The 27507-nt window shown below is 44.0% G+C and overlaps 1 protein-coding gene across 13 annotated transcripts in view, besides 2 other annotated features; it reads left to right on the plus strand.

Annotated features, from left to right (window-relative positions):
* Positions 1-27507, plus strand: part of WDFY4 (WDFY family member 4) — a 298084-nt gene that overhangs the window by 94936 nt on the left and 175641 nt on the right. For 12 of the 13 annotated variants that reach the window (XM_011539988.3, NM_001394531.1, NM_001370153.1 and 9 more), the window contains 9 exons: positions 133-311; positions 6831-7062; positions 8722-8867; positions 10066-10177; positions 10919-11109; positions 16490-16642; positions 23478-23551; positions 25452-25613; positions 26196-26287. In XM_011539988.3, coding sequence (XP_011538290.1) covers positions 133-311; positions 6831-7062; positions 8722-8867; positions 10066-10177; positions 10919-11109; positions 16490-16642; positions 23478-23551; positions 25452-25613; positions 26196-26287 — 1341 coding nt within the window. The remainder of the gene's footprint in view (positions 1-132; positions 312-6830; positions 7063-8721; positions 8868-10065; positions 10178-10918; positions 11110-16489; positions 16643-23477; positions 23552-25451; positions 25614-26195; positions 26288-27507) is intronic. The other variant, XM_017016464.1, reaches the window with a different exon arrangement.
* Positions 22997-23046: an enhancer, noted in NCBI's record as "active region_3342". NCBI's record gives its function as "activates an Ori minimal core promoter by ATAC-STARR-seq in GM12878 lymphoblastoid cells {active_cell/tissue: GM12878}" and the evidence as "EXISTENCE:reporter gene assay evidence [ECO:0000049][PMID:35858748]".
* Positions 23077-23136: an enhancer, noted in NCBI's record as "active region_3343". NCBI's record gives its function as "activates an Ori minimal core promoter by ATAC-STARR-seq in GM12878 lymphoblastoid cells {active_cell/tissue: GM12878}" and the evidence as "EXISTENCE:reporter gene assay evidence [ECO:0000049][PMID:35858748]".

Raw genomic sequence — 27507 nt, forward strand, 5'->3', positions numbered from 1 at the left:
TTCATGAGAGGAGGATCTAGGGCTCCATGGTACAAGGCCCAGTGGTTGACGTCCGCCTATGCCCTCCCCATTCTCCTGGGTTCCTGCAGTGTAGCACCACACGTGAGACTCAGTGTTCATGCTGTCTTCCAGATGTCATGGAACCTGAGGATGACTCCGAGCCTTCTGCAGGATGCCAGCTTCAGGTCAGGTGTGGCCAGCTCCTGGCTTGTGGTCAGTGGCATCACTTGGCTGTGGTTGTCACTAAGGAAATGAAAAGGCATTGTACAGTTTCCACCTGTCTGGATGGACAGGTCATTGGCTCTGCCAAGGTGAGATGGCTCCTCCAAGCTGCACTTGCCCCACAACCATACCTCCTGCTACTACCCTGAAGTGGCCTCGGTTTCATTCTATGTTTTTGTTGTTGTTTGTTTGTTTGTTTATTACTGGTAGGGTTGGCATCTAATGAAATCTGCCTTACTGTTCAGGAAACTTGGCTGAGTTCAGACATGAAAAGGACATCTTTAGAAAATGCATTGAAGGTCACGCTACCAGGGCAGAAGGCAAGACATGCATCCAGGTCTCTAAGAATAGTCATGTTCATGAAAATAGAAAACTCCAGAATGAACAAAGCAAAGCTTCTCATTTTGAGGGGCAAACTCCTCAGGGAGGTCTGGGCAGGGCCTAAGGTATGACTTTTCCAAGAAGCTCCCAGGTGAGGCCAACGCAGCTCATCTTTGCACCACACGGAGGAGCAGGACACTAGAGTGGGCAGACACCAACACGTGTCGTCAGATTTAGAGCAAGAACCATGAGGAAGGTAATAGAATGCAAATGTATAGCTGGAGGAAGCATCTCATGGCTGTCATTTAGAGACACCCCAGGTATAAGAGAAAGCTGGGAAAAGGTGGAGCTGGCAGGCGCCAGCAGCCATTGTCAGAGAAGAGAGGGCCCGGAGGACCATAGAAGGCAGGTAGGGCTGGATTTTCACACAAGTTCCAGGGAGAGCATCCCAAGCTGGCTGCATTTTAAAATCACCTGCAAAGGCTTTTTAAAGTTCTCTTGCACAGGCTGCACCCAGAATAATTACATCAGAATCTCTCTGGGTCAGGTAATTTGACAACTTACTAATGTTTGTAAAATTTTCTAGGTGATTCTAATATGCAGCCAGAATGGAGAACCTTACATACACAGGGTTTCTGGATTCCCCCTAAATGCCATAGTGTTCCTCCCCTGACCTTGCCCAGTTGTGACCACCAGTAACATCTCCAGACATTTCCAAATATACCCTGGGGGTCAAAGTTGTTCCAGGTTAAGAGTCATCAGATGAGAACAAATTCTTAGTCCCAAATTCTGTGGGACACATATAGGTGAATTTGATACCATCTGCTGGTAAAGTTCTGTTATCAAAAAAAGGCAGTGATGACCAAATATATATATATGTGTGTGTGTGTGTGTATATATATATGTGTGTGTGTGTATATATATATATGTGTGTGTGTGTGTATATATATATATGTTTTTTTGAGATAGGATTTCGCTCTTGTCGCCCAGGCTGGAGTGCAATGGTGCGATCTCAGCTCTCCGCAACCACTGCCTCCAGGATTCAAGCGATTCTCCTTTCTCAACCTCCTGACTAGGTGGGATTACAAGCGCCCACCACCATGCCCACTAATTTTTGTATTTTTAGTAGAGACGGGGTTTCACCAGGCTGGCCAGGCTGGTCTGAAACTCCTGACCTCAGGCGATCCACCTGCCTTGCCCTCCCAAAGTGCTGGGATAACAGGTGTGAGCCACTGCGCCTGGCTGACCAGAAAGATTTTGACAGGGGCATTGAAAGAACAGGTCCTTCAAAACATAGTTAACCTTTTCTGCAATTATTAACAATATCAGTCCTCCCTCCTTCCCTTTCTCTCTTTCTTCTTTTCCTCATTAAATATTTATTGAGCACCTGTTATGTGTTAGCTAATATTTTAGGTGCTAAGAATTGTTTATGCCTATAAGCTAAAGACCTCCAGGAACATACATATAGTATAAGGTGCTAAGAATTGTTTTAGGTTCTAAGAATTATTTATGCTTATAAGCCAAAGACCTCCAGGAACATACATATAGTATAAAATAAAAATTAGATTTAAACTGACTATAGCAAGAGATTTCCTATCCCATGGGGTAGTAAGGAGTTAGGAGTGGCTTGTTACAGAAACTAGATTCATTTTAGGTGATTTTTAAAAGGGTTTAAAGAAGTGGAGGTCTGTCTGTTCTGAATTGGGTGCTGCTGGAAAGAGGTGCAATTTGGTGACTGTGAATGTTAATAACTTTTATCCAGAAGGTAGAGACACGGAACAGGGCTGGACTTATCATTAGAGAGGAAGCAGAAGTCCCTCACATTAGTTGGGATGGGATGTGTGGTGTCTTTTGTGGTTGCAATATCTTTGTTTTTATCTGTTTAGGCTCAATTACTGAGTTCACTTGTTCTTGTCTTCTTTCACAGAATATGTTGATATTTTGTGAAATACTTCAAATACCTTGAGGCATGTCTTATTGATGTTTGTACCTTCCTTGAACTTGGCGCAGGGGCTGACACACAGTAAGCATGGAATAAACACTTGATGAACTGAATTGAATGTGCAGCCACAGGAGGAACATGACTGGCTGCTAGTGTGGTTGGGTGAAGTGGTACAGGCATTAACATCCTCCCTGCGGGACCTGCTAAGCCTAGGGCCATCAACAGGGAGGTCAGGAGTGGTGTGTTGCTATATGGAGTGGCCAAAGCCAAGACTGACAGAGTGCGCTTTCCAAAATAATCTCAACAAGTTGGGTCAGGACCAGCAAGTGAAACTCAACCAAGATAAACATAAAGGCCTGTGTTTTGATGCAAACATCTGTTGGACAAGAGTAAGATGTGAGAACTTCAGCTTAATTTGACTAGTTTAACAGCCCTTCTCAAAATGCTGAGCCTTTGTTTTTATTGCCAAAGGAAACTTACATAAATTTGTAAAGATATGGAGCATTTTAATAGTTTGAATTGGGCAAAATGATTTGGGAACGATATGAGACATTAGACATTTATTAGGCAACCTGAATGGGGCAGTGTGCATACACTGGGAATTTGGAAGACAGGAGCAAGGTGGGTTGGAGGGGTGAGTGGTGCTTCAGTGTGGGAGAGAGAGGAGGACTCTGTGCCTGCGAGAACAGAGAGATAAGAGAGCACAGAAAATCATACTCCTGGCAAGCCTTGATGGCTGAACAATTGGTTTGTTTTTATTTGAAAATCTCACTTAATTGGTAGAGTGAAAAAGAATATTTCTGAAATTCTGTAAACTCTCATTTAGAAAAATACAGTCATCCCTCAGTTTCCTCAGGGGATTGGCTCCAGGACCCTTCCTGGATACCAAACTGCATGGATACTCAAGTCCCTTAAATAAAATGGTGTAGTATTTGCAAATAATAGATGCATACCCTCCTGCATGCTTAACTAAGCTCTAGATGATTTATAATACCTAATACAATGTGAATGCTACATAAATAGTTGTCATACTGTATTTTTTTATTTGTATTTTTTATTGTTATAGCACTATTTTTTATTGTTCTTTTTCCTGAATATTTTTGAGCCAAAGTTGATTGAATCCAAGGATATGGAACCCCCAGATATGCAGGGCCAATTGTACATATTTATATATGTACAATTGTATATATCTTATGTATATATCTTATGTATAAAATCAAAGATGTATATATCAAATGTATATATCTTATATATAGTGATTTTATAGTAATTATAAGAATAATATAAATGCATTTTGAAATAGCTCAAAAATAGAGAAAAGATTAGCTACCCTCCTACTACTTTATCATATTTTGTAATTTCAGTTTTATCCCTTTAAAAAATAGTGTGGCCTCGAAGTATAGAAAATCTTGTATACTGCTTAGTTCATTTAACCTCTCATTTAACCTAACACTTAGGCTATATGGTATAGCTTATTGCTCCTAGGCTATAAACCTAGACAGCATGTTGCTATACTGAATACTGTAGGCAACTGTAACACAGTGGTGAATATTTGTGTATCTAAACACTCTAAACATGGAAAAAGTACAGTAAAAATATGATATTATTATCTGATGGACCACCATTGCATATGTGCTCTGACACTGACTTGGAACATTGTAATGTGGCACACAGCAATATATGGAAGTATACTTGGAAATTCATCCAAACTTTTGCCTGTAGCCACAGTTCATTCTTTTTTATTTCTGAGTAGTATTTCAAGGTATGGATGTGCCATAGTTTGTTTAGTCATTTATCCATTGAAAGACATCTGGGATGTTTCAGGTTTTGGCTATTACAAATAAAGCTTTGTGAGCATTTGTGTACAGGTTTTTGTGTGAATTTAAGTCTTCATCTATCTGGGATGAATTCCAAGAGTTCAATTGCTGGTTTCTATGGTAATTGAATGTTTAGTTTTATAAGAAACTGCCAAACTATTTCGAAAATGATTGTATCATTTGACATTTCCGCTAACAATGGATGAGTGAGGCAGTTTTTCTGCACTTAGCATTGTCACTATTTTTATATTAGCCATTTTGATAGTTGTGTAGTAATATCTCACTGTGTTTTTAATTTGTATTTCCTTAGTGGCTAATGAGGTTGAACATCACCTTTTCATGTGCTTATTTGCCATCTGTATATTCTCCTCAGTGATGTCCATCCATATTTTTTGCCCATTTTCTAATTGCATTGTTTGCTTTTTTTTTTTTTTTTTTTTTTTTTTTTTTGAGATGGAGTCTCACTCTGTTGGCAGGCTGGAGTGAAGTGGTGCAATCTCGGCTCACTGAAACCTCTGCCTCCTGGGTTCAAGTGATTCTTCTGCTTCAGAATCCAGAGTTGCTGGGACTACAGGTGCCCACCACCATGCCTAGCTAATTTTTGTATTTTTAGTAGAGATGGGTTTTCACTATGTTGGCCAGGATGGTCTCAATCTCCTGACCTCGTGATCTGCCCACCTCAGCCTCCCAAAGTGCTGGGATTACAGGCATGAGCCACCACACCCAGTTGCATCGTTTACTTTTTTTTTTTTTTTTTTTTTGAGACGGAGTAGTCTCGCTCTGTCACCCCAGGCTGGAGTGCAGTGGTGCGATCTCGGCTCACTATAAGCTCCGCCTCCTGGGTTCGCGCCATTCTCCTGCCTCAGCCTCCCCAGTAGCTGGGACTACAGGCACCCACCACCATGCCTGGCTAATGTTTGTTGTGTTTTTTAGTAGAGACAGGGTTTCACCATGTTAGCCAGGATGGTCTCGATCTCCTGACCTCGTGATCCGCCTGCCTCGGCCTCCCAAAGTGCTGGGATTACAGACGTGAGCCATTGCGCCTGGCCTTAAACTGTTGAGTTTTAAGGGTTTTAGGGTTTTAAAATGTATACATATATGTGTATGTGTGTCTATATATATACATATATATTCTAGACACTAGTCCTTTGTTAGATATGTGATTTGCGATAATTCCTCCTAGTCTGTAGCATGTCTTTTAATCCTCTTTCACATGGGTAAAATTTCTGGTTTTGCTGAAATATAATTCATTAGTTTTTCCTTATATGACTCATGCTTTTGGTGTCGTTTGAGAATATTTTGCCTAGTCCTAGATCCTGAAGATATTCTCCTATTTTTTTCCCTAAAAATTTTCTAGTTTTACGTTTTACACTAGAGTTTGCAATCAATTATGAATTAATTTTTGTATAAGGTGTAAGGTTTAAGTTCATTTCTTTGCCTGTGGATGTTCAATTGCTCCAGCACCATTTGTTGAAGAGTCTATCATTTCTCAATTGAATTGCTTTTGCATCTTTGTCAAAAATCAGGTGAGCATTCTTATATAAGCTTATTTCTGGGTTCTCTATTCTGTTCCATCGATCTATGTGGTTATCTTTATACCAATGTCACACTATATTGATTTTATAGCTATATAATAAGTCATTATTAGAGTAGTTCCTCCCCCAAATTAATTCTTCTTTTTCAGAGTTGTTTAAACTATTCTAGGACCTGTGCCTTCCCATATACATTTTAGAATTAGCTTGTTTGTGTCTACAAAAGACCTTGCTGGAATTCTGATAGTCTACAAAAAACCTTTCTGGAATTGCATTATACTTACTGATCAACTCGAGGGGAAATAATATCTTTACTATAGTGAACCTTTCTATCCATGAACCTGGTATGTCTCTCCATTTATATAGGTCGTCTTGGACTTTTTCCATCATCACTTAGGAATTTTCAGTATACAGATCCTCTACTTGTCTTACTAAGTATTTCATTTTCTTGTGCATAATTGTAAGTGGTATTGTGTTTAATTTTAGTTTCTGTTTGTTTATTGTTAGCCTACACAAATAAAATTGATTTTTGTGTATTGATCATGTATCCTGTGACCTTGCTGAATTCACTTATTCTAGGATATTAAAAAAAATTCCTTGGAACTTTCTACATGGACATGATAGAAACAGTTTTATTTCTTCCTTTCCACTCTGTATGTATGTAATTATTGTTCATACATAAAACTATTAATTTGCCAATACTAGACATTCAGGTTCTTAGTAGAATGACTGAGATAAGAAAGGTGTACACTTTTTTGTTTCTTAATATTTTTTATCAAATTTATTTTCAAAAGGACAGTATCAGTTTTTTACTCCACATTTAATAACTTGTTTTGCGCATACTTCTGAGATTTGAGAATTATATTTTAGTTTTTTAGATAAAATACATTTTTACTATGAGATGAGAATAAGATGCATCATGTTATATCACTTTGTATTTACTTGATTAACTCTGAGATCAAACACTACTCACTCTTGTCCTTTTTATTTTAACAGATGTTATACATCCAGGCTCTACCAGGGCCTTTCCTTTCTATGGATCCATCCGCATTTGTGGATGTTTATGGATATATTGCTACTCCTCGAGTCTGGAAACAAAAGTCTTCATTAATCTGGCGTCTTGGCCCCACATACCTCTTTGAAGAAGCCATTTCAATGGAAACTCTGGAAGTTATTAACAAACTTGGCCCAAGATATTGTGGTAACTTCCAAGCTGTGCATGTCCAAGGTATGGAGTGTTTTGATTTACAATGTTCTTGCTGATATTAGTTTTTAAATGGACATCCAGTTATTTGTAGCAGATTTGCAGAGAATAAGCTCAGCGTTAAAGTCAGTCATTAGGGAAGACCTCTGTAATTGTATCATTATATATTTACAACCCAAGAGAAAATGTCACAGAAAAGGAAATGACAATATCTTTAGATTTCAACTCCAAAGCCCTAATGGGGAAGAGGTGGGTTGGGCAATACCATCAGCAAAGAAAGAGAGAAGAGAATGAGATAAATAAGTTACATTGCTTTTAATGAAGAAGCTTTTTAACTAAAGTATACTGTTGACTTCAATTATTAAACAGGCAGACAAAACATCCACATTTTCATTATTGATTGTTGTTATTCAAGCAGGGAGCATTGTTCTCTGTGCTCTGTCAAGTCAAAGGGGTCAGCTCCCATCTGGAAAGAATGATAAATGAATCTATGTCAGCAGCCTGTATGTGCTGAAGGGCGATTGAGTGCTCTTGAGCATTTCTGTCTCCAGGCCCATGATGTCTTTGAATTTCATTTCCTGTGGCAAATGGCACTGGCCAGAGCAATGGGACGAGGTCAGGTCTAGAGCCAAAGTCTTACCAATTCTATATTCATGGCACCTTTCTCTACTAGCACATTGGGTATCATTGACTTAGAGACCAGTATGTTAATTCAAACTGGGGTGTTTGCCGTGGCTGTGCAGCTCATTGAAAATTAGACATTTCAGATCAGCCTATTTCAAGTCAGGTTTCTTGTCACTTAAGAGTTTGGTTTTAGGGAATGAGGTTATATACTTTACAGATGTTTTAAGCTCTGGTAGTTTCGCACCTGGAGTGCATCTATTTCATGGTAAGACAAATCTTGGGAGAGTTCGCCACAGTTTTCTTTTTTTCTTCCTCTTCCTCCTCCTCCTCCTCCTCCTCTTCTTCTTCTTCTTCTTCTTCTTCTTCTTCTTCTTCTTCTTCTTCTTCTTTCTTCTTCTTTCTTCTTTCTTTCTTCTTCTTCTCCTTCTTCTTCTTCTTCTTCTTCTTCTTCTTCTTCTTCTTCTTCTTCTTCTTCTTCTTCTTCTTCTTCTTCTTCTTCTTCTTCTTCTTCTTCTCCTTCTCCTTCTCCTTCTCCTTCTCCTTCTCCTTCTCCTTCTCCTTTTCCTTCTTCTTCTTCGACAGAGTCTCACTCTGTCACCCAGACTGGAGTGCAATGTCATGATCTGGGCCCACTGCAACCTCTGCCTCCCCGGTTCAAGCCATTCTCCTGCCTCAGCCTGCCAAGTAGCTGGGACTACAGGCATGCGCCACCATGCCCAGCTGATTTTTTGTACTTTTAGTAGAGACGAGATTTCACCATGTTGGCTAGACTGGTCTCGAAATCCTGACCTCAAGTGATCTGCCTGTCTTGGCCTCCCAAAGTGCTGGGATTACAGGCATGAGCCACCATGCCCAGCCCACGGTTTTCTATAACTATCAGAGAAGAGGGGAAAACAAATGACATGCAAACATACAATGTGCAAAAACATGCAATGTGACAACATACAAACATCCTCTCAATGATTACTTTGCTGTGTGACAGAGATATTAAATTGTATGAGGATTAATTTCCTGCTCTGTAAAGTTAGACTAGAAATGTTTAAAGATGTGTTGTTACAGGGGAGGACCTGGACAGTGAAGCCACGCCCTTTGTTGCAGAAGAAAGAGTTTCTTTTGGACTTCACATAGCCAGCTCCTCTATCACCAGTGTAGCGGACATCAGAAATGCTTACAATGAGGTGGACAGCCGCCTGATCGCCAAAGAGGTACATCTTCTAACTTCGCTGCTAATCTCTGTTGGAATCTGGTTTCATGGTTTGCATTAGCTTTCAGTGCTTAAGTAAACACTATTTCATGTTTGCACTTGTGTAGATGGATACACAAATACATGTTTCCCACTTCATTTGTTAAAATATCCTATGCCTCCCCACCCACTGGTGTCCTCCCAGACTAAGCCTTTCATTTATAATTATTCAGAGAAGAAAAATCATAAATAAAAGAACAAGAACAAATGACATATTTTAAATACCTTTGCAACATTGAAAACACTATTGAGCTTCCCTAGTCCTGGGTATTAATGACCCACTAACACTGAGATATTCTTTGAGTTGTTGTGATTTTTTTAATTTTAATTTTTTATTTTTTTACAGATGGGATCTCTCTATGTTGCCCAGGCTGGTCTTGAACTCCTGGGCTCAAGTGATCCTCCTGCTTCAGCCTCCTGAGTAGTTGGGATTACAGGTGTGATTCACAGCAGCACCCAATATTGCTGTGATTAAAACAACAAACAAACAAATAAAAACAGTAAATTTTCAAAACAACAAGGAGATATGTTTGTAGATGGGGATGCCATTAAATTTACTTCCAATTTTTGCATAAAGAGCTCTTTTGCTTAGCACTGATGAAAATTTGCAATTCGTTTATATTCCTTCACCCTAATGGACAGAGGGTACCCCCAGAGGATGGGGAGTCAGGAACTAGGTCCTGTTGATCATGAAAGTTGTGGCTTAGCAGCAACACACCGCTTTCTGATGTAGGAGTCCAGGATTCCTATCTTCTTGCCCCTTTGACATCTGTAGAGATTGGGCTCCCAGAGCCTGAACAACCCTAGTCTGAGAAGGTGGCAGCCCTCACCTTGGTAGCGCTGTTCCACCTGAAAGTGTCCTTGGGTCCCTCTTGCTCTTCTTAGCACCTCACTGTGAGCACGTGGGACACTGGTGGCTCAGACTGCGTAACTGAAGCTGCTCACTTACAATTCAGCCACAGCTTGGGAGACAGAATGCATGAGCCTGAATTTGGCTTCAATCCCCTGACATTGGTTCAATTGCTATTCATTCCATGATCATTGCTGATGGAGTGTCAGCACTGGGCCAGGCCCCAGAGGGCCTGCCCTCCAGGAGCTCGTGGACAATGCTTCTTCTTTTGCAGGACTTTCTTAGGACTAATTGCTGCTCATTTCTCTAGATGAACATTTCATCCCGTGACAATGCCATGCCCGTGTTCTTGCTGAGGAATTGTGCTGGCCACCTGTCAGGGTCTCTGCGGACCATTGGAGCTGTTGCTGTGGGTCAATTAGGTATGTTCAACTGGGAAGCTTTGCCGCTATTTGGGAAGCAGGGTTTGTGCTGTCATGGCTTGTGCACCCTGGAGTTCTGGAGTGGTGGACAGGATGGAGTGTGCCAGGGAACCAGGGTCGGGAGGACCAGAGTTGGGAGTGAATCCAGCCAGAGAGTTAGTCTCCCAGAAAGCATGAGGATCTGTTCACCTGGCCACATGTGGCAATCAGTGGTGAGCTCAGCTACTAACCAGGCTGCTGTCTGTGACGACAGGAAGCTGTCTATCTAGTGAGTACAGTGGGGCTTTTAAGCAGAAGCACTGGTTGTAGTTGTTTGAGTGAAAACTGCTGGTCACCATTCAATTGAGCAATAGCAAGGCAACAAATTGGTGCAAGTGCCCTGCCCAGCAGGATCTAGAGGACAGGCAAGAGCAATGGGTTGTTAGAGCAATAGGGATACTGAGGCTCAGGGGTCTGGCTCATCCAACACTCTGGAGTGAAGGCAGAGGGCGGCAATCTGAAATACTCTGGGCTGTTCAGCCTTCTGATGGCAAAGAAATGACTTAGCACAGTATCTCCCAGCCATCTAAGACTTTCAGAACCTCCTGCTCTTCCCCCCAGCCTGTCCCAGGTGCACAGGTCCCTCTGGCTGTGGATGGATGGTGGCACTGGTAGCTCATTGGTCCTCCTGTGCTGTCGGGGAATTTCCCATTGCAATGAAGCTGTGACATGTTGATGAAATGCCCACTTTATGCCACACAGGGGTGAGGGTATTCCACTCCAGCCCTGCTGCCAGCAGCCTGGACTTCATTGGCGGGCCTGCCATCCTCCTGGGCCTCATCTCCTTAGCGACAGATGACCATACCATGTATGCGGCTGTGAAAGTTCTGCACTCGGTCCTGACCAGTAATGCCATGTGTGACTTCCTGATGCAACACATCTGTGGGTACCAGGTAATCCCATCCTCCCACCTGGAACTGAGACTCCTGAAAGGGCTGTCATCCCTGGGAAACAGGGACAAGCGTTGCTTGCCTCAGTTGCATTCCCTCCAGGGTGACTTCTAGAGAAGGGCAGCCGAAAGCCCTTGGGTTCTGAGACCAGCAACTTCGCAGCAGAGGAGGGGCAGGCGACAGCCAGCCCAAGAGCTCTGCTCAGGATGAGGATGCTCACCTGATTGTGGCTTCTGGCCCTTTTCACTGACAAATTCTAATGTCATTTGTGGTTGTCTCCCCACCTTGTCTCTAGCATGGTGGCTGAGAGCCCAGGCTGCAGAGCAGACTGCCAGAGTTTAAATCCTATCTCTTCTAATTTGCTATTTAACCTTAGATGAGTTACTTATCCTCTGCCTGTTTCCCCACCTGTAAGATATGGACTGTAATAGGGTTGCAGTGAGGATTAGATGATTTCACACAAGTGAAGAGGTTAGAATTATGTCAGGCCCAGAATGAGTGCTAAGTAAATGTTAGTCATTTCTACTTCTTAATCTCTTTGTGCGTCAGTTCCCTCATGTGTAAAATGGGATTATGAGAGCACCTGTTTTGCAGGGTTGTGATGACTGTGTTTATATGTGTTGAGAGCTTAGAGGAGCACCTGCACACGGGACCTGCTTCGCATGTGTTTACTGTGATTGTCATTGCTATTTAGAATTGGTAAAGTCAGATGAGACATGGCCACTGCCCTTGAGTAACTTCTCACATGTCTGGGAGGCAGCCAGGTGAGGAATTAGGAGGGCAGGGCCAGGGTCGGAGTCTGGGCCATGTCACAGGTCTCAGGCAGTGGAGGCTTCCTCTGGTGTGGGGGCTGCTGGGTGATTGGGGCAAAGCCTCCTGTGTCTCTCGCTACTGGGTCAGGGTTAGAGCAGAAGAGAGCTGTGTGATGGCCTTCTGGGCACTCCCCCTGTCTGTCTGGACTACTGCCACAGCTGGACAGTAACCCCTTCCCCCAGCCTGTCCCTCGTAGCCCACTGATGCCAGCTGTAGCCCACATCACATATCTGGTGGTGTCCCTCCTGTGTGTAAAACCTTCAAAGGCATCTGATTACCGATACCATATCCCAAACTCCCTAGACAGGTTTTCAAAGCCATTCAAAACTGGCCACAGACCTTTCCTTCCAGCCCCATCTCCAACCCAGCCAACATTTCAGCCTATGTTCCCACCTCCCCAAATCCTGCACCTTCTCCAATCATTAAACAGTGTATGACTTTGTGTGCCTGTGGCCTCCGCTCAGAGCACCTCTTTTTTTCTCCCTCAAGCACCCTCCTTCTGTTTTCCAAGATCAAGCTCAAATAGCAAAGGCAGCATTCTCTTCCCCCAGCTGAGCATGTGGCTGTTTCCTGGTCCTCTTGGCACTGTGGGCACATCCCGTTTTAATTGCTCTCGCACCCACACTGGAATGCTCAGTCTACACATCTCTACTGGAATCTTCTAAAGATCCTAAGGTTTTTTACTCTTTGCTGGTGTATTACTGACACCATGAAGACACTCAGTACATGTTTTGGGAATGAGTAAATGGGTATGTCTGAGTTTATGCTAAAACTCAAGAATTGGGGATATTGGTACACAAAGGTTTTCTCTGAATATGCTGTTAAAGATAATAGTAGTAGGATCTATTCTAATACAGCACAAGGATATCTGCTGTGGTTAGGGATTTTAATAATTATTGTGACAATTTCTAAAAAGGCACAAATCATTTCCTGCCCTCATGAGTGTATCTAGAAGGAGAAAATAAAATAAGAACCAAAATAATTTTAATATAAATAAAAATGCAATCGGTGTCCAAGATTCACATCAAGAACTACTACATGCTTTGTGACTCACTGGCTACCTGGCTATCTTCCCAGAAACTCTGAGCTTCTCAGAAAGCTCAGACTACCTCAGGCTCACTGTGGTCTCATTGCCTAGTCCTGGGGATGGTGGGTGGGCGCGGTGAGCTCTCAGTGAGGGTTCAGAAATGAGAACATTGCCTTGAGAGGAGGAACTATCTACCACAGAGGTACATAGCGCCTGCTGTCACATGTAGGTAGAGGGGTCAAAAAGGGTTTTGTTAAAAAAGGAAGCTCATCAAGAGGTTTCCTGGAGACTGAGCTGACTGAGCTTTCCAGGAAGAGATGGTAGAGACAAGGAGTGGCCCAAGGATGTAATCTCTTTACTCAACTTAATTGATCAAATGCTTCCTAAGACCAGGCACTGTGCTAGGCACTAGGGATGTGAGGTGAACAAGGTGGGTTTAGTCCCTGTTTTCATGGGACTTACCATCCAAGAAGGTGGACAGAAAAATACTGTTAGCATGAGGGAGAGTCTCTCAGATACCTCCTTTGAGTAAAGAACTCATCAGATTCAGAGGTTTATTGTACACTTACACATGAAGGCAGAATAAGGAAAATTTAAAACTGTTATTCTGTCTTTAAAAAGGAAACATTTCAAATATTTATGTCTTTGGGGAAAATCAGAAGGAGAAGCTGCGTGGCAAGAGAGGTGGTAAATGGCAGGTTTGAGTGAAGAAATAGTATTATTTTGTTTTTGCTTTTGTTTTTTTAAACTTTCTTGTCCACTCTTTATAAAATGCAACCTCCATCCTCCCTCATCCTTTTCTAGGCACGTTTTCTCGCTTTGTGTTTCTTTGTAACCTGCATGTGCATTTGCGTGATGTCTGCTTCCGTATTGCCACGTTTGTGTCTGTTTCACCCCCAGGCACATGCTTCATAAGAGCGTGTGTCCGGCTTGTTTATTGCTGTACCCTAAGAACATGCCATAGATAGTAGGTGCTCAGTTAGGATTGAGGAATGAATCCGTGAATGAAAACAGGGGTCTTCAATTAAGTGGCTTGCTCAGGAGTGGATTTCATCAGTTTTTAGGTTTTACTCTAGGCTCATCTGCTGGTTTACTGGTTGGGTGGGAGAGCATAAACCTTCCTATCTGTTATTTCTGTCTAGCTGATTTATCAGCCTCTTCTCAGACTAAGCAATAGCCAGCTGAGTTTTATAGGATGGGTGTTCTTAATATGGGGAAAGAGGAGGATACTGTTCCAGACTAACATTAAAACACTTCCAGGAGCTGGTCTGGGTTCCTCCACACGGCTAGGAGGAGAGGATGGTTGTGGAGCTGTGCATGGCATACCGAATGGAGGGTAGGGAGCCATAGCCTTACCACTGTGGGGAACGTAGGTTCTGCCTCACAGGTGATGGGCAATTGCAGGAAGGCCGGGACAGGGAAACGGACTGACAGAGGTGTTAGAACACCCCTTGACGTCAGTGGAGAAGATGAGGCATGGGGATGAGGTTCAAGCAGGGGCTGAGATAGAATCTGACCTAATAGGAGCCTGTGTTCCTGACCTGGGGAGTCTCAGGATCTGTGAGCAGCCTGGGCAGGTGGCGCTGGAAAGGAGCCAGGGCGGTCCAGCAGGCCGCCGACAGGAAGGAAGGGAGATGCTGGGACATGCTCAGTGGGAAATGTTTGTGAGACATTGAAGGTGAAGTATCATGTGGGAGAGAAGGCTCTGGAGCTCAGGGACAGGCTGTGCTGGAGGTGTAAATATGAGGGTCATCGCCACCATGATGATATTTAATCTAAGGAAATTGATGAAATCACCAAAAAGAAGCTGTACAGAGAGAAGAAGGTTGAGGGGGAAACAAAGAGGAGCTAACCACATGGAGCTGGGAATATAATTAAAACCCAGTAAAGGAGATTGAGAAGCAAGAGGGAAGAAAAATCAAAGACAGTTATGTCAAGGAATCTGAAAAAAGAACGTGTTTTGAGAAGGCGGGTATGGTCAAACCATGTTAAATGCTGATAAAGAATAGCACAAACAAAGGATGGAGGCGTCCTCTTTGGATTTGGCCACCTGGAAGTCCCTGGTGGCCTTTCTGAGGGAGGTAGCCAGGTGGAGGCAGTGGCTGGCTGATGCAGGTTGAAAAGAGAATGTCAGGTAAGGACATGGAGCCAGGGTGTGTTGATAATGCTTTCTAGAAGTTTGCCTATGAGCAGGAGGAGCTGCATAAAGCTACAGGGATTAGGGATGGAGGGAGGGTTATTTTTACAATGAGAAATACTAGAATATATTTGTACATAGGAGGAAGAGATCCAGGGTTGGGGCAGTGGAAGCTTGGAGAGAACAGTTATCTCAAAGAGCAGTGTCCTTGAGATGGTGACCAGTAGGATCCAGAGACCAGGTAGATCGGAGACTCTGCTTGTGACAGGAAGGAATGCAACACGTTTGTTAATTTGGTGGTGGGAAAAAAGAATATTCATATCTGATGGGTTCTATCTTTTCAGCAAAATATGAGGTCAGGTGGGGGAGAGGAAGAGAGGTTAGAGGAGAGAGGAGAAGCAATGAAACCATGATCTTTAGGATAAGAAAATATAGCTTATTAGAAGGACAGAGTTGGATTGCCAGAACTGACTGAGTGTCAGTTTGACATTTGACACTGTTTGATGTAAAGTGAAGCCAGTCAGCCTGAATGTTTTCACATGCAACTTTTAGCCATCCTAATTTTGTCTTGCTGTGGGATTTCATATATGTGTGTGTCTGTATATATATATATATATATATATATATATATACATATATATATACACACACATGAATAGTCTGGAAAGATATTGAGTCTTTTCTGATCACAAACAAGGCTTCCGAAGGGCACGTTGCAAGAACATGTCTGGGAGGACAGGGAGAAAGGGCGGGCTGTGTTGGAGCCATTGATGGGGAATGGAGCCATGGATGGAAGGAGCTGAGACTCCAGATTAGGTCGCTCAAGGCTCATATGCCAATGGATGGCTGGGCAGACTGACTCGTGTGGGGCTGCAGTCAACAGAGATGTGAGGCTTGGTGGGACCCATCTTCTTAGTCTGAGACAAGCTGGGTCACCAAATGTATGCTGGGACCCAAGTGCCTCCATGCTGGGATGGATGCTTCATGTTGCTGGCTTCCCAGGGGCTGGTGCAACTGACAGGCACATCTGGCTGGGTGCAGCCAGGCTCATGGGCAGGTGGTAGCTTCCCATAAATGCAGCATTTATGGGATGGTTACGCATGTAAAGGACCCAGTAACAGAAAATGAGAATGAGGCTTGAGGAGTGTGGGAGGAAACCAGGAGAGAGTGGCATTCTGGAAACATGGAAAAGATGCAGGGAAAAGTAAGAGTCCCAGTGAGAAGTCAGGTCATAGCACAGAAAAGTGGCCACAGAAGTTGATGTGTATTTTTCTTCTGAGAACATGGAATGAAGGATGGTAGCAGCAGAGAGCAGAAGGTTTGCAGACTGGACTGGGACAAGTGGGTGAAGGGGAAATCTCTAATGATGCATTCATGAGGAAACTGCTTTGTGTTAACCTTTTCAGATAATGGCGTTTCTCCTGAGGAAGAAGGCCTCTCTCCTGAACCATCGAATTTTTCAGCTGATCCTCTCAGTGGCTGGCACTGTGGAGCTGGGCTTCAGGTCATCTGCTATCACCAACACTGGTGTCTTCCAGCACATCCTCTGCAATTTCGAGGTAAATCAGAGATTGGCCCTTAGTCCTTCAGGAGTGTGTGTGATGGTAAATATGCTAAGTCTGGGCTTTCCCCTAAACCTAGCATGTCAGCTTCCCTCATAGTCATGATGGTAGGGAGAGGGAAAACCAAACGAGCCTGCCCAGAGGCCCTGGTTTGTAATGACATGTGCCACCTATGGACTGAGTGGCTTCGGACAAATCTCTTGACCTCTCTGAGCCCCACTCTTTTTCTTGGGTGAAGTGGAGACCTTCATCTCCTTGCAGGCTGTCATGAGGGTTAAGCCAGATAGTATCTGGGAAAGGATTTTTAAACTATAAATTGGCATATACATATGAGGGTAAAGAAAAATGATCTCAGTTCCTTTGGGTGGTGCTTTGCTGTTTCCAAATGATTCTTGAAAGGGGTGAGTTAAGGGATGCAGAAGGACACGCCTGAGGCTGAGGAGCATCGCACACAACTGCTGTGGGTGGATCAACCCATTCATGAAGCATCATTTACTGAGCACCCTCTGGGTCAGGTACTGGCCATGTCCTGGAGACACAGTGAAAACTAGAACCCAGCCCTTCCCCACAGCCAGATGGGACTGGGACATAGCCAATGTAACACTGCAAATGCTAGGTGCTTCAGTGAGACAGGCACAGGGCATCTGGGGAGTGGGAGTGAGCAGGCAGTCAGAATTCAGGGGGAAAATAACCTTCCAGGTGGAGTGTATATGCTATTTGCAAATACTGTACATCAGAGTGAGAGCAGCCATGGGGACTTGAGAGCAAGTGGCTTGTTGGGGGCCTACAGGTTTGTGTTGGTTGCAAGAGCAGGAGAGAGAGAAGGCAGGCCCAAGGGGTTAGACTGCCCAGACTACACTTTAGCCTGGGCATGTGGAGGTCCTCAGGAGAAGTTTCAAAGCTCTTTCTTTGTTTATTAAGAAATTGATATATGTTTATTATAGAATATTTTTTAATTAGAGAAAAATGTGAGGGGGAAACTCTCCTATTACCAAGACCTAGTTAATTCTTGTCAAACCTGGATGCATTCTCTTACAGTATTTTCAATGTATAATACATTTTTAAAATCATAGTCATGATTATACTGTAGGTTATTTTGAGTCTAGTCTTTGCTCACATACCAAAAACATTTAAACATTTTCATTACAAACACAAGCACTGTTTTGAGATCAGAATAATATTCTGTTATGCTGAGAGTTCCTGGTTTCTTCATCATTTCTCTATTGCCAAATTTTTAGATTCTTTCTATATTTTGTTATAAATTGTGTTATAGATGGGACTTTTGTGCTGATATTTCTCTCACTTTTAAAAACATTTTCTTAGAATAAATTATCAAAATTAATAATGAGAATAAAGGCATTATGAACAATTTTTAGATTGTTGATAAGTTTTACCAAACTTTTGATATCTAGGGATGTTAACTGTAGAATGATATGTGAGAATTTTATTTTAGGTATGTGACTTCGGTGACAAGAGCTCTGAAGCAGGGAGATGGGTCATGAGATGATTGAAGAAATCTGGGTAGAGGATTTTGAAACCTAAACTGAGGCAAGGGTAGTGGGATAATGAGGACAGCAGGTGAAAAAGTCGAACTTGAACCAGAAGTGACTTAGAGACACATGACAAGGGAAATACTACATATCAAAACACCACAGGGCTGCTACTGAAGGCAGGACCAGAGGGAGACTGACAGTCATCAATATGTATATTATAAAAAGAGAATACTCTTTGTATAATATAGATCAAGATTCGGTTCAACGTCTAACTTCTAACTTAAGATCAAGAAGTTAGAATGACCAAACAAAATCAAAACGCAGAGAAAGAAGGAAGGAAACATATAAATGAGAACATAAATTAATAAAATAGGAAAAAAAAACATACAGAGGATCAACAAGGCCAATTACTGTTTCTCCTAAAACAGACAAACGTCTGTTAAGATTGGCCAAGAAAAGAAGACAGAAGCCACAAATAAATAATATTAGGAAGGAAAAGGGGAGAATACCACAGAAGAATGAGCAATTAGAAAGGAAAGAGACAATTGGATTAGTAATTTTGTGCCAGTAAATTAGAAAACTTAGTTCATTTGAACAATCTCATCGAAAATGTAAGTTTTCAGAGCGCACTCTAAAATGAATAAAAAACCCCAATGATCCTAGAATCATCAAGTAAAGTGAGTCACTGGTTTAAAATCTGTTGACATAAACAACAACCAGAAGGGAACGCCAGGCTGGGCACTCATAGGGAAATTCCACCAGTCAGGAAATAGGTTCTTTCTAGCTTCTTTAACGAGCTAATCTTGATGGCAGAACACAAAAGGACAGAACAGAAAATGAAAAAGTACAGGCTAATCTTATTTGTAAATATAGGCATAAGAGCCCTAAATATGAGATTAGCCAGTTGAACCAGGCCAAGATGAATGTCCTGGTCCTGGATCTGAAGCTGGAAAAGAGGATTGTGGAGGAAGCCAGCATGGCCTGGAGAATGGGCTCCCTGTGCACAAGGGGAAAGAAGATGTACATAAATGGCCATAAAACCCCACTAAATAAGATAATGTGTCTTGACTGCAACCGCTGCTGCCCCTTCTGAAGTGCTGTGGCCATGCTCAGCCAGTCTGGCTCCAAGGTGTCCTGGCCACCAGCATGGCCCAGGAATTACTAATGCAGGAACCCATCATGCTCCATTGCCTGCTACTAGAATGGCCATGGACACCACCCTACCCCACCCCACCCTGAATAAAACTACCCTCTTCAGGAGATCTGGTGCTTTTAAAGCTGGATTTAAGAAAATAAACCACCAATAAGAACCAGATGCTAAAAAGCAAAGCAAAGTGAAACAAAATGAAATGAAACAAAATAAAATTTAAAAGATTGAGGGGAGAGAATTTCAAAAAGGGAAAAATGTTTCCCAAATGTCATGTTCTGCCTACACCAAGTAAAGTGAGGTAAGGGATGTGTGCACTGTACGTGCCCATTGGAGGTCACTGACAGACTTAGTGACAAGTAAGTTGTGGGGTCAGAAGCCACTCAGAAGTAAGGAGAAACGGCCGGGCTTGGTGGCTCATGGCTGTAATCCCAGCACGAAGAGGCCGAGGCGGGTGGATCGTGAGGTCAGGGGTTCGGTACCAGCCTGGCCAACATGGTGAAACCCTGTCTCTACTAAAAATACAAAAATTAGGTGGGCATAGTTGCGGGCGCCTGTAATCCCAGCTAGTCGGGAGGCTGAGGCAGGAGAATCACTTGAACCCATAAGGGGGAGGTTGCAGTGAGCCGAGATCATGCCATTGCATTCCAGCCTGGGCGACAAGAGCGAGACTTCGTCTCAAACAAACAAACAAAGAATTAAGGGGAAGTGTGGGGAGACTGAAAGTGGAGGCAGTCAGTGGACTTTGGAAAATAGCAGAGAGGAAGTTTCAGAACTTTTGGTTTTGGGTTTTTGTTTTTTGTTTTTTTTTGAGACAGAGTCTCACTCTGTTGCCAGACCGGAGTGCAGTGGCACAATCTCGGCTCACAGCAACCTCTGTCTCATGGGTTCAAGTGATTCTCCTGCCTCAGCCTCTCGAGTAGCTGGGACTATAGGCATGTGCCACCACGCCCAGCTAATTTTTGTATTTGTAGTAGAGACGGGGTTTCACCATGTTGGTCAGGATGGTCTTGATCTCTTGATCTCATGATCCGCCCACCTTGGCCTTCCAAAGCCCTGGGATTACAAGCGTGAGCCACCGCGCCCAGCCGGTTTCGTGTTTTAAGATGGAAGAGACTTAAGTCTGTTTGTAGGTTGAAGGAGAAGACGCAGTAAAAACCAGACAGTTAAAATAGTAGTGGGAGAAGAAACTGCTAATGAGACACATCCTCAGAGGGTTTGGAGACAAGAGAGTGGATCACAGGAGAAACGGTGGGATCCGTGATGACTGGTGTGAAGCAGACAGGAAGAGGAAGTTGTGAGGAAGGGAGAGACAGGAAGTCATTGAGAAGGGAATGGACAGGAAGCTGTGAGGGAGGGTGGGTACAGGAGATTGTTGAAGCAGGGAGGGACAAAAATTTGTGAGGGAAGGAGGGACAGGAGGTTGTGAGGGAAGGAGGGACAGGAAGCTGTTGAGGCAAGGTTGGACAGGAAGTTGTAAGACAGAGTTGGATAGGAAGTTGTAAGGCAGGGTTGGACAGAAAGTTGAGAATCAGGGAGGAACAGGAAGTTGTGGGCTTCTAAGTCTTAGGTTTTGGTTTCTTTCTTTCTTTCTTTCTTTCTTTCTTTCTTTCTTTCTTTCTTTCTTTCATTCTTTCTTTTTTTTTTTTTTTGTTTTGAGATGAGGTCTCACTCTGTTGCCCAGGCTGGAGGGCAGTGGTGCGATCTCAGCTCACTGCAACCTCTGACTCCCAGGTTCAAGTAATTCTCCTGCCTCAGCCTCCCAAGTAGCTGGGATTACAGGCACGTGCCACCACATAAGGCTCATTTTTTTATATTTAGTAGAGAAGGGATTTCACCATATTGGTCAGGCTGGTCTTGAACTCCTGACCTCAGATGGTCCACCCACCTCGGCCTCCCAAAGTTCTGGGATTATAGGCATGAGCCACCATACCCAGCCTCTGGTTTCTTAAAGAAGGAACTGACTAGTTCATTTCTAAGAGTACAGTCATCTCAGGGGTGGGGAGAGAGCAACACCTGACACATTATACAGTCCATACTCAAACAAATCTAATCCAGACATCTTAATATAGTCCTTAGTACAGGCTTATGTGACACAGAATAACAATCAAAAGATTCAGTTATTCATGTTTCCCAAAATTCTGACATTTGGCATTATGTAATTTCCTGATGAGCTAGGCAGCCTCAAATGGGTGTGGCAACTTATTATTGTTGCTGTGTTCTGGAAAGGAAATGTGAGAGGCTGGAACTTTTGTGGGAAGTGTAAAAGGTGCACCTTATTGTACTGGTGGGTTCACATCTGACTTTCTTAGTTCTCTCAGCCCTTAGCCCCAGGCCTGGCATATCATTTGTTGAATGACTGCCTTCATGAATCAATATCCTAAGTGTGCAGGGCTCTTGGAGCCCTACAGACATGTATGTTGGGGTGCCATGCTGGATACCCATGTTTTCACTAGAGCTGCCTTCATCAATACCAGCTGTCCCAAATGGCAGCTGGCCCACCTCTGTGTGTGCCTTTGGGCAGTGGCTGTGCTTAAAAAAGCAGGAAATCTGTCACTCTTTTCCTGGCGGAAGAACAATCCACTCATTTTATTTTATTTTGTATCCACTCATTCTTTTAAAAAATGTAATGCATCTTTACGAAAGATAGTGGCATGTATGATGCTAGGTTCCAGGGATTAAAGAGGGACAGTCTCTACCTTCACAGGCCTCCCGATAAACTTGTGTTCACTGGGGTTCTTTTGCATTTCCTCTTCAGCAAGAGTAAGCAAAGTCATGGGTAACTGCTTAGCTTCAAGCAAGGTTGAGTATTGACCCTATGGGTCACTATCTGTAGGTGATACCCATGGGTACCCAGTGTGGGGCAAGGGAATGGGCTTCGTAGTCAGGTGGATTGACTTTGAAAACAGTCTCTGCCAATTAAAAAAAAAGTCTGGTGCCAGAAAAGTTACTTAGTCTCCCTGAGTCCCATTCTTTCTAGCTACTAGATGCAGATAATAGGCCGGGTACGGTGGCTCACACCTGTAATCCTAGCAATTTTGGAGGTGGAGGCAGGAGGAACACTTGAGCCCAAGAATTAGAGACTAGCCTGGGCAGTAAAACAATACCCCACTCTACAAAAAAATTTTAACAATTAGCTAGGCATGGTGGTGCAAACCTGTAGTTCTAACTACTTGCAAAGCTGTGGTGGGAGAATTGCTTGAGCCCAGGAAGTCAAGGCTGCAGTGAGTCATATTTGGGCCACTGCGCTCCAGCTTGGGTCTCTCAAAAATAAGAAAATAAATACATAAATGCGGATAATAATATTTTGGGTCTTTTTATGGCACCTCTTGCCACCAGGAAATGTATCAGTTATTAAGTGCAAGCTCTTTTTGCTGCTATATGAGTGCACGCTTATAATCCCACACCTGAACCTTGTATAGTCTGGGCCTTAGGAACTGTCAGTATTTAGAGAAGAAAAATATTAGAGTTCTCTAAAGGGAAGTAGAAATAAGACATGATGGCATCCATCAATTCTGCCCCAGAAGGATCACTAGCAGCTACATTTGTTTACTATGAATGAAAACAACCTGAGTGATCAACTTCACTTTCAGAATCTCAGTGAATTTCATATCTTTGTTTCACTTACAATTTTGTCATGCATGAGATGACACTGTGGTTTGGGCTGAAGAATGTGTTGCCTGCGCAAATTGGGTATGTAGTCAGTACAGTGTAAAACCTGAAAATCTGTACCTGGCTTCTATTTCCTGTCCTGCCACTTGCTGGTGGTGAGTGGAGACTGTCACTCAGCTGGTCTGTCTCAGCCTCTATTTTCTCATCTGTAAAGTGGGAACATCATCATTTGTCTTGCAGGATCCAGGGAGGTTGAGATGAGTTTGCAATATGGACACTTGGGCTGTGGGCCCAAGGCTGAGCAGATGGGGGAGATGGTTAGTGCAGGCGTCCTTGGTTGGAACCAGGCCCACAATGAAGTGCCAAGTAGCAGCAGAGATGGCGAGAGAAGGCCTTCCTACAGGGGAGGCACCTCTCTGCTTGGAGTGTCAGGACAGCTGATCTGATTCCAGAGCTGGTACATCATGTTGATGATTCCACGTCAGAGGATCACCTGTCCAGCACTGACCTTCTCATGCTTCCTGCAAATCATTCTTCTCCCACACCTTCATTTTAGCATGTGTTTTGTTTTGTCTTCCAGCTCTGGATGAATACTGCAGACAATCTGGAGCTCAGCCTCTTTTCCCATCTTTTGGAAATCCTTCAATCACCAAGGTAGGCTGGGTCTTGGCAGCCTGGGGGTTAGAACTGAAGGCTGAATGTCCAGAACAGAGACAGGGCAGGGTGGCCAGTGGCTCTTCCCTGCTCCCAGAACACTGGGTCCCCAAATGGGAGCACATCCTTCCCAGTGGCTCATGCTTGTGGGGCAGTCTCCTCTCATGGTCTCGGGCCTCAGGAGGGCAGATGCTGGGGGCTTAGAGGCCTCTCTAGCCCCAGGGACTAGCACATACTGGGGGCTCAGCAATTGTGACCAGCAAAGGTCCACTCTCCCTCTAACTGACTTCTCCAAGGCACTTTTGGAATTAGTCAGGGCTCTTTTACCCTTCAAGTGGTAGAAATACAACTCAAACCAGCTTAAGGGATGTAAAAGAGAAGGAAAGAAGGAAGGGAGGAGGGAAAAAAGAATACAGGAAGAAAAGACCAGTAAAGAGGGACTTCGTTGGCTCTTACAATTGAAAAGAGCTGATCTCATCCTGTAGCTGGGGGAGGCTCACATCATTTTCTCTGAGCTCTGTCACCACTCTTGCCTCTGCCTCTTCCACTCAGTCTTCAGGTTGCCCGGGCTTTCTTCTGTGGCAGAAGGTGGCTCCTGGGCAGCTCCTCAGAGCACATCCTCAGCTTAGCACCATAGGCAGAGAGACAGCTTTTTAAAAATTTAACAGTCTTAGCTATTGGACTGAGTCTCATTGAGCCAACTGTGTCCCATGACTGGGCTGGAAAGTGGCTTCCCCTCTGGAGTTAGAAAGTGGTAGTTCCCAAAGGGAGCCAGGGGCTGTGTTCAGAATAAGAGAGAAGGAAGGCAAGGAAGCCCACATATCACCCCACCTGCCTCCTCCTGGCTCAGGCTGGTCTAGAGCTCATTGGTGCCTTCAGCATTTTGAATGTATTTGTAAATGGCTTTCCACTCATCCACTTAATGAACATCTATTATAAACTTACTACATTTCGCACCCTGTACTTAGAGGTAAAATTCAGAGAAGAATAAGCCACAGTCTGATAAAAAGAGAATACAGAAAAACATGTTGTTCAGTGCTGTCAGAGGAAACAGAACCAAGGGCAGCCGGGACTTCTGGGTAGAGGAGCATCTGTCTTCTCTGCTGAGCCTGTAATTATAAATCATACACAGAATTGGGCTCTGGTCCTGCCTCTTTTGTGTATCAGGGAGATGGAGCTCAGCAGAATTTAATGTGTTAATACAAAAAAAAAAAAAAAAAAAAGACAGTTCAAAGTGAGGAATCTGCCCAAAGTCACCCTCCTCCACATTTTTCTCCACCATTTTTTCTCTTCCACTTTCCACTTTGTTCCTGTACCTGTACCAGTTGTTTTCTAAGAAACAGATATTTATCCTGGGAGCTGTTTTCTTTGGGGGAGTAGAATTTACTGGAAATTGGATTTGTGAGTATCTGAGGGAGGGGGTATGGATAGGTGGATTCTGTCTTTTTCTCCTTTGACTTTCAGTGGCGTGTCTCTCCACTTTGTGGTTTGGGGCGGGCAGGAAGATCACACAACCAGACAAGCTAGTGAAGGGCCCTGCACTCCTGGCTGGTGGGAAGTACTCCCCAGTCACATGAGTGTCTGCTGTCTTTGTTTGAGTTTCTGAGGCCAGCACTAGTTTTCCCTGGGGCTCAGAATTTAAAAGTCAATAATTGGGGTTTGTCTTTGAAGGTGGTTTCCGGGGGGCGGAGGGGACAGGCAGTGCACACCCGAGCGACTCTGGCACTTAGCAGACACATATTCAATGGGTGTCTGACGGCATCTTGACAAATTGCCAAGAGAGCATTGGAGTTAAGGGGCCATGGAACAAGCCTGGCTTGAAAAACCTTTTTAGCAGAAACACAGCAAATTTGGTTCATTCCAGTAAAAGCTTTTACTGTCTCTCTCCTGTACTCACCAGGGAAGGACCCAGGAATGCTGAAGCTGCCCACCAGGCACAGCTTATACCCAAGCTCATCTTCCTATTCAATGAGCCGAGCCTCATCCCCTCCAAGATCTCCACCATCATTGGCATCCTGGCCTGTCAGCTGAGGGGCCACTTCAGCACCCAGGACTTGCTCAGGTACCACACCAAGCTGCCCAGGGGGAAGAGCAGGGCCCCAGGGCTGTTTAAAAAGGGAGGACAGACCCCAGCTCTCTCCCCATTGTGCTCAACCCTGAATCACTTGGAACCTTCTAGGAATTTTTGCCCAGGGCTGAGAGTTGGGGAAAGGATGGTTTGCTGAAGTCAGGATGGGACAGGCCGGTTTCCCCAGCAGGGCTGTGTGTTTACTGTTCCCACTGCTCAGGCTCCCCCACTGTGGCCAAATATTCAGGAATTTCCATAAGCACTGCCATCCTTGCCAGCCAATGACCCACATGCCTGGCTCCTGCAGACTCCTGAAGAGCAGTCCCAGCCACCAGTGTGTTTCCCCTTCTCTTTCCTGTCACTATCTAATTGATCAGGTAGAGCCAGAGTTAGCGTCTCTGGTGAATCCTGACTGATTTTAGAAGTCTCTGGAAATACACAGCATGCCATGATGATTTCCCTTAAACTCTCACTTGCAGCTGCACGTGGGTGGGTCTATGTGAAAACACTGGCATGTACTCAGCGGACTCAGTTGAGCCCGCCTGCGAGCCTGTCCTTCTCTCCCTGTGTATAAAGGATTGGGCTGTTTGTTGTGTACACCCTCAAGCCTTCGTCGGTGAATGAGAGGCAGATCTGCATGGACGGAGCCCTGGACCCTTCCCTGCCTGGTGAGAAGACCTTTGCCAGTTCGAAGGCAGTAGGACGGCCCTCACGGAACCCCTGAGAGGCCCACATTGTGCAGAGGGAGGGGCTAAGTAAGGAAGGGGAAGGCACCCACAGCCAAGCCGTGGTTTCCAAGCCGTGGCCTGTGAGGCTGTCATTTTATGATGAGAGTCAGAAATGAAATAAAATTATAGATTCCTGCTTTGAAATGTGGGACTGGTGTTCCAGGCCTCCAGAATAAAATCAGTTCCCTGTAGACCAGCATGTGGGATCCGGGATCCTGCCTCACTTCCTGGTTGAACCCCCACTACCCCTTACTTTCCTGATGAGCCCCAACTCCAGCAGTGAAGCACTTGCAGGCCCCTGCAGGTGATGGCCTGCCCTCTGTCCGTGCTTGGCACGTGCTCTTCACTCAAGGGAAATGCCACCCCTCCCCCACTAGCCAAGCTGTCCCCAGTCCCACCAAACCAGATTAAGTCACTTTCTCTGTGTTTCCAAAGCCCCTTGGGGTTACCCTACTGAATAGATTTGTAGTTTGTTTATGTGAGTCTCCCTTTTCGCCTAGCCAGGTGCAGAACTGCAGCTGTGTCTTGTTCAATTTGTTCCCTCTGCTAGGGCAGTGTGATGGCAGCAATCACAACTGCTTTGTCCTGGGCCCTGCGGCTCTGCACTGTCCAAGACGAGAGCCCCTAAGCCACATATAGCCATTTAAATTCAAATTTTAACTAATTAAAATTAAATGCAATTAAAAACTTAATTCCTCACTCACTGTAGCCACGTTTTAAGTGCTCACTAGCTACCTGAGGCTAGCGGCTACTCTATTGGACAAGGTAGATATAAAACAGTTTTATCATCACAAAAGAGTCTCCTGGATAGCATTTTTTAATCTAGATAAAGTATTATCTCTTATCCTTAGATCAAGCCGCAAGAAATTACTATTCCCATTTTGCAGACTAAGAAATTTAGGTTCAATGAGATTAGGAGCTAATTGAAGATGGGACCAAAATCTGAATAGACGGAAATATGACTCCATTTCCCCAGGTTGCCTCATCAGTCCTATTTCTACAGTATGGCGTGGTGTATGCCCTGTATTGGTGTGAAATTGCTGGCAACTGAGGGAATGAACAAATGGGTAATGGGCCAAGAGTGAACTTATTTAGTCAACCTTCCTTCTCATATGAACTGCATTCTGAAACTTTTACCTAACCAACATATTAAAGCATTG

The sequence above is a fragment of the Homo sapiens genome, chromosome 10, assembly GCF_000001405.40.
Source record: "Homo sapiens chromosome 10, GRCh38.p14 Primary Assembly".
In the NCBI taxonomy this organism is placed as follows: domain Eukaryota; kingdom Metazoa; phylum Chordata; class Mammalia; order Primates; family Hominidae; genus Homo; species Homo sapiens.